Raw genomic sequence first — 5,685 nt, 5'->3', positions numbered from 1 at the left:
GCCGCCGGTGACGGCGGGACTCTCTGGGAGGCCGGCGGTCCTCGGGTGTAGAGGGAGACAGCTGCCCGGGGGCACGGGCGAGCGCCTCTGGGGGTCCCGGATCCGAGACCCGTGGCCCCGGGGTGGCGGTGACGCCTGGAGTCATGCGGGCTTGGCTGGGCCGGGCTCTTGAGGCAGCCAGGCGCCACTGCTGGCGTCTAGGCCACACCACCCTGAATGCGCCCGCTCGCCTCTGATCTGTTGAAGCTAAGCAGGGTCGGGACTGGTTAGTACTTGGATGGGATTCCGCCTGGTAATAGCGGTACCATAGACTTTTGGCTTCCCGCTCCCTCCTTCTTTCCCCCTTTTGTCTCCGTGCTTCCCAACTGCCCCCCGCCTCTGCTCCCCGTTGACCGCCCCCGTGCCCCAGCCGAAGCCCAGGACCTCCTACTGAAGATCCGCCGCTGCAGCACCGCCAGGCAGCAGCATCCCACCTCTTCCGACTCGCGGCAGCCCCACCCAACCCGGGCGGGACGGGACCGACCCCGAGGGTGCAGGCGCGGGTTCCCTGAGGTCCCGGGTGTCTTCACGCTCCCTGGACTCCCAGGCAATTGTATTCATTCATTCAGCGTCACTGCAACCGTCCAAGCCGGTGGAAGGGGTGAGCAGGGGCAGCGGGTGCCACAGACCCCAGCCAAGACCTCAGCTCCAGAACCCGAGGGCTGCTTTCCCCAGAGGAAGGACATTTTCTTCGCCAGCCACGAGGAAATCCGTCCCTGTGCACCCTGTTTCCCAATGCCACCGACTTCGTGTAAACTCCAGTCCGGAGGAAAGGAGAGAGACCCAGGCCTCGCCCCGTGGACAGGCTCGGCGCCATGGCTCTCGCCAGACACACGAGCACACTCTACAAATCTCAGGGCCCACCGCATCAAGGAGACAGAAAGAAGCAAAGGAAGGACCTTATGAAACGCACCCCCAAAGCAACCAACCAATCGAAGAAAAAAAAACACGTCTCAGGGCTCCATTGGTTTTCCTGGATGGGGGGCCCTGACCCCCTGTTCTAGCCCGGCCCAAGAACCCTCCACCCCACCCCGGCCTGCTGAAAGGTGCCCTGTCTACCTGAGCAGAGCCTCCCTCTCCAAGGCTCTGTCGCTGTCGCTCCACAACTCCCTCACCCTCTCCCTTTCTCTACTTCCCCCTCCACCTCCCGCTCTAATGTGGTGCTCTCTCTTCCCCCCTCTCTCTCTCCTCCCCCCTTTTCTGTCTCTCTCTCTCCCTCTGGTTCTACTTCTCCATCCCTCTCTCCCTTGCTCTCCTTCTGCAGCAGGAGGAGCTGCAGACAGAACCCCTCAGACACCGAGTTGTAGAAGGAGGGGCTTTATTCAGCTGGGAGCATCTGCAGACTCACGTCTCCAAAAACCGAGCTCTCCAAGTGAGCAATTCCTGTCCCTCTTAAGGGCTTACAACTCTAAGGGGGTCCGCGTGAGAGGGTCGTGATGGATTGAGGAAGCAGAGGGTACGTGACTAGGGGCTGCATGCACAGGTAATTAGATTAGAACAAAACAGGACAGGGATTTTCACAGTGCTTTTCTATACAATGTCTGTAATCTATAGATAACATAACCGAGTAGGTCAGGGGTCGATCTTTAACTACCAGGCCCAGGGTGTGGTGCAGGGCTGTCTGCCTGTGGATTTCATTTCTGCCTTTTAGATTTTACTTCTTCTTTCTTTGGAGGCAGAAATTGGGCATAACACAATATGAGGGGTGGTCTCCCTTCAAGCTATCTGTGTCTGTGTCTTTGTGTGTCTGTGTGTGTGCCCGGGTGTGGTGTGTGTGTGTGTGTGTCTGCATGCATGCACCCGTGTGTATCCGTGTGTGTGTCAGGGTGGGTTTGTTCGTGGTAGTGGTGGGGTGTGTCTGGGTGTCCGTCAGCCCCTCTTTCCCGGGATGAGGCTGCCGGGGCTCTAGTGCCAGGGCGGGGCAAAGCAGAGCCTTCTTGCCCCTTTGGCCATGGCGGGTCCTCGTCAGAACAAGCGAAGATGGTGTGAGCATTGTGAGAAAAAGGGCCCATGGGGCTGGGCCGGCTGTTCGCCCCTGGGCAGCCCTGGCGGCTCTGGGTGTGTGGGGCAAGAGGGGGCCTTGCAGGAGGGGCGGTGAGGAATCCAAAATAATTTTTCCGCGGCAAGGCGGAGGACCGGAGGGGACCCCGGGACCGTGGGCCCCGGGCCCTGACGCCTCGGAGCACACCCCGTCCTAAGCGGGCCCCAGGTGTTGGAAGCTCGGGAGCTCAAGAGCCTGGGGAAGGCCTGGAGTCTCAGCGAGAGGGTGGCTGCCTGGAGAGTCCAGAGCCCTGGCAGGGGATGGAGGCCTCTGGCGCCTGGGCTGTCTCGCGCATGGTCTGGCCGCCGGCGACATCGGGACGCTCTGGGAGGTCGGCGGAAAGCACAGCGCGGCGATGGTGGTGCTTGGGCTTAGAGGGGGAGAGCAGCCCGGCCACAGGCAAGCGGCTCTGGGGTGCCTGATCCCAGCCTCGCGGCCCCCGGGTTGGTGGTGATGCCTGGAATCAGGCAGGCGTAGCTGGACTGGGCTCTTGGGCCAGCCAGGCGCCACTGCCATTGTCTACGGCCACACCACCTGGAAAACGAGAGAGACCCAAGCCGCGGCCCGTGGGCACGCTCAGCGCCACTGCTCCTGCCACAGTGACGGGCGCACTCTACAACTTTCAGGGCCCACAGCACCAAGAGGACAGGGAGGAGCCCTTGCTGCCTGGCTCATGAAAGCCCCCTGTGGGAGAGCCCCAGGAGCGCAGGGCATGTGGGGTGCAGGAAGCGCCTTTCCCCACGCCCCGGTGTAGGTGAACTCGATAGAGGAGGGAGGAGGGTGACACCCACCAGGGGTGCTAATTAGTAACCACAGTGGCCTCAAAGAACTCAAATGAAAGGAAGACTTGCAAGTCTCTCACTTTAAGTCCAGAGCTAGAAATGATTAAGCTTAGTGAATATGTAGAATTTTCATAGCTAGAGAGAAGTCAACGCTTGGCTTCAAAACTTCAAAGGATGGGCTGACTCTCTTTGAGGACCACTGCAGCTGGTGACTTTAAGTTACAGCCAGTGCTCATTGACCACTCTGAAAATCTCAGGGCCCTTAAGAATTATGCAAAATCTATTCTTTCTGTGCTCTAGAAATGGAACATCACTGTCTGGGTGACAGCACATCTGTTAATAGCATGGTTTACTGAATATTTTAATCCCACTATTGAGACCTACTGCTCAGAAAAAAAAAAAAACGATTCTTTTAAAAAGATTGTTGGTTGGCCAGGCATAGTGGCTCATACTTGTAATCCCTGCACTTTGGGAGGCCGAGGATCACCTGAGGTCAGGAGTTCAAGACCAGCCTGGCCAAAATGATGAAACCCCATCTCTAATAAAAATACAAAAAAATTAGCCAGGGATGGTGGTAGTACCTGTAATTTCAGCTACTTGGGAGGCTGAGGTAGAAGAATGGCTTGAACCCTGGAGGCAGAGGTTGCAGTGAGCCAAGACCGTACCACTGTACTCCAGCCTGGGCAACAAGAGCAAAACTAAGTCAAAAAAAAAAAAAAGAAAAGAAAAGAAAAGAAAGAAAAAGAAAAAATAAAAGGAAAGAAAAGGAAAAAAGAAAAAAAGATTGCTGCTTATTGACAATTCACCTAGCCACCCAGAAGCTTAGATGGAGATTTACTTGGAAATTAATGTTATTTTCATGGCTGCTAGTACAATATTTACCTTCAGCCTGTGGATCAAGGAGTGGTTTTGACTTTCAAGTGTTTTTATTAATTAATAATTGCATTTTGTAAAGGTATAGCTGTCATAGATAGTGATTTCTTTGATGAATCTGGATAAACTGAATTGAAAACCTTTTGGAAAGGATTCCCCATTAATCTTTTCATGATATTTGAACCTCCTCCCGTGAATCACAAATGTCCTTAATAGCAATCCTTAAATGCCATTAAGGACATTTGTGATTGATGGGAGGAGGATGAAATATTAACATTAACAGGAGTTTGGAAGAAGTTGATTCCAGCCCTCATGGATGACTTTGAGGGCTCAGGATGTCAGTGGAGGAAGTCCCTGCAGATGTGGTAGAAATCACAAGACAACTAGAATTAGAATTAGGGCCTTAAGGTGAGATGAAATTGCTGTAAACTCATGATGAAACTTGAACAAATAGGGAGTTGCTTCTTATGGACGAGCAAAGAAAATATTTTCTTGAGATGGAATCTAATCCAGGTGGAGATGCTATCAACATTGTTGAAATGACAACAAAGGATTTAGAATATTCCATAAACCTAGTTGATAAAGCAGCAGCAGGGTTTGAGAGGGTTTATTCCAATTTTGAAAGAAGTTCTACTGTTGATAAAATGCTGTCAAACAGCATCACATGCTACAGGGAAATCTTTGGTGAAAGGAACAAACTTCATTGTTTTAAAAAATTGACACAGGCTTCCAACCTTCAGCAGCCCCCACACTGATTAGCCAGCAGTCATCAATATAGAGGCAAGACTCTCACCAGCAAAAAGATTATGACTTGGTAAGGCTCAGATATTCATTAGCATTTTTTAGCACTGACGTATTTTAACTTAAGGTATGTACACAGTTTTTTAGACATGCTATTAATTACTAATTAATAATTATTAAATACTCATTAGACTACAATATAGTTTAAGCATAACTTTTATAAGCACTGGGAAATAAAATGTTTATGCAACTAACTTGATTGTAACATTTGCCTTACTGAAGTGGTCTGGAACAAAACCCACACTATCTCTGAGGTGTGCTTGTAGGTTTTTGTTTGTAGCATTTGCTTTACTGCAGTTGTCTGGAACCAAACCCACACTATCTCTGAGGTGTGCTTCTAGGTTTTTGGTTGTTCTTTGTTTTGAGATGGGGTTTCGCTCTGTCGCCTAGGCCAGAGTGCAGTGACATGATCATAGCTCACTGCAGCCTCAAACTGCTGGGTCAAGTGATTTTTCTACCACAGCCTCCTGAGTAGCTGGGACTACAGGCATGCAGCACTATGCCTGGCTATATTTTTTTAATACTTTTTTTGTAGAGACGGGATCTCACTATGTTGCCCACCTGGTCTTGAACTCTGGGGCTCAGGCAATCCAGCCACTTCAGCCTCCCAAAATGCAGCCATTACAGGCTTGAGCAACTGCACCCAGCTTGTCTGCAGTTCTTAAAACAAAAACGGCCAGGTGCGGTGTCTGACACCTGTAATCCCAGCACTTTGGGAGGCCAAGGCAGGTGAATCACAAGGTCAGGAGTTCAAGACCAGCCTGGCCAAGATGGTGAACGCAGTCTCTACTAAAAATACAAAAATTAGCCAGGCGCAGTGGCGGGCACCTGTATTCCCAGCTACTCGGGAGGCCGAGGCAGGAGACTCACTTGAACCCGGGAGGCGGAGGTTGCAGTAAGCCGAGATCGTGCCAGTGCACTCCTGCCTTGCGACAGAGCAAGACTCCATCAAAAAAAAAAATGTAATTTAAAAGATTAAAAGTTACGATAGATTTTTACAAATGTATATATCTACCATTATAGTATCATACAGAATGGTTTTACTGCCGTGAAGATTCTCTGTGCTCTGTGTATCCATCTCTTCCTTCCCCTTGGTCCATGGCAACCACTGATCTTTCTACTGATCCCATAGTTTCACCGTTTCCAGAA

General features: G+C 51.4%; 1 long non-coding RNA gene, 1 other non-coding gene and 1 pseudogene across 2 annotated transcripts in view; 1 reads left to right on the top strand and 2 right to left on the bottom strand.

Moving 5' to 3' along the window:
• LOC124902162 (uncharacterized) overlaps positions 1–614 on the bottom strand; it is a 9,370-nt gene extending 8,756 nt beyond the window's left edge. The window contains exon 1 of the long non-coding RNA XR_007061512.1: positions 474–614. This is a non-coding gene — a long non-coding RNA (uncharacterized LOC124902162). The remainder of the gene's footprint in view (positions 1–473) is intronic.
• On the top strand, positions 196–313 carry RNA5SP530 (RNA, 5S ribosomal pseudogene 530; annotated as a pseudogene).
• Positions 615–3,917: 3,303 nt separating the features above from the next.
• MIR4477A (microRNA 4477a) lies at positions 3,918–3,998 on the bottom strand. Its single transcript, NR_039688.1, has one exon. It is a non-coding gene; the product is annotated as a microRNA 4477a (primary transcript).
• Positions 3,999–5,685: the final 1,687 nt, after the last annotated feature.

The sequence above is a fragment of the Homo sapiens genome, chromosome 9 (assembly GCF_000001405.40).
Source record: "Homo sapiens chromosome 9, GRCh38.p14 Primary Assembly".
Classification (NCBI taxonomy): Eukaryota; Metazoa; Chordata; class Mammalia; order Primates; family Hominidae; genus Homo; species Homo sapiens.
This window is presented reverse-complemented; position numbering and strand designations above follow the sequence as displayed.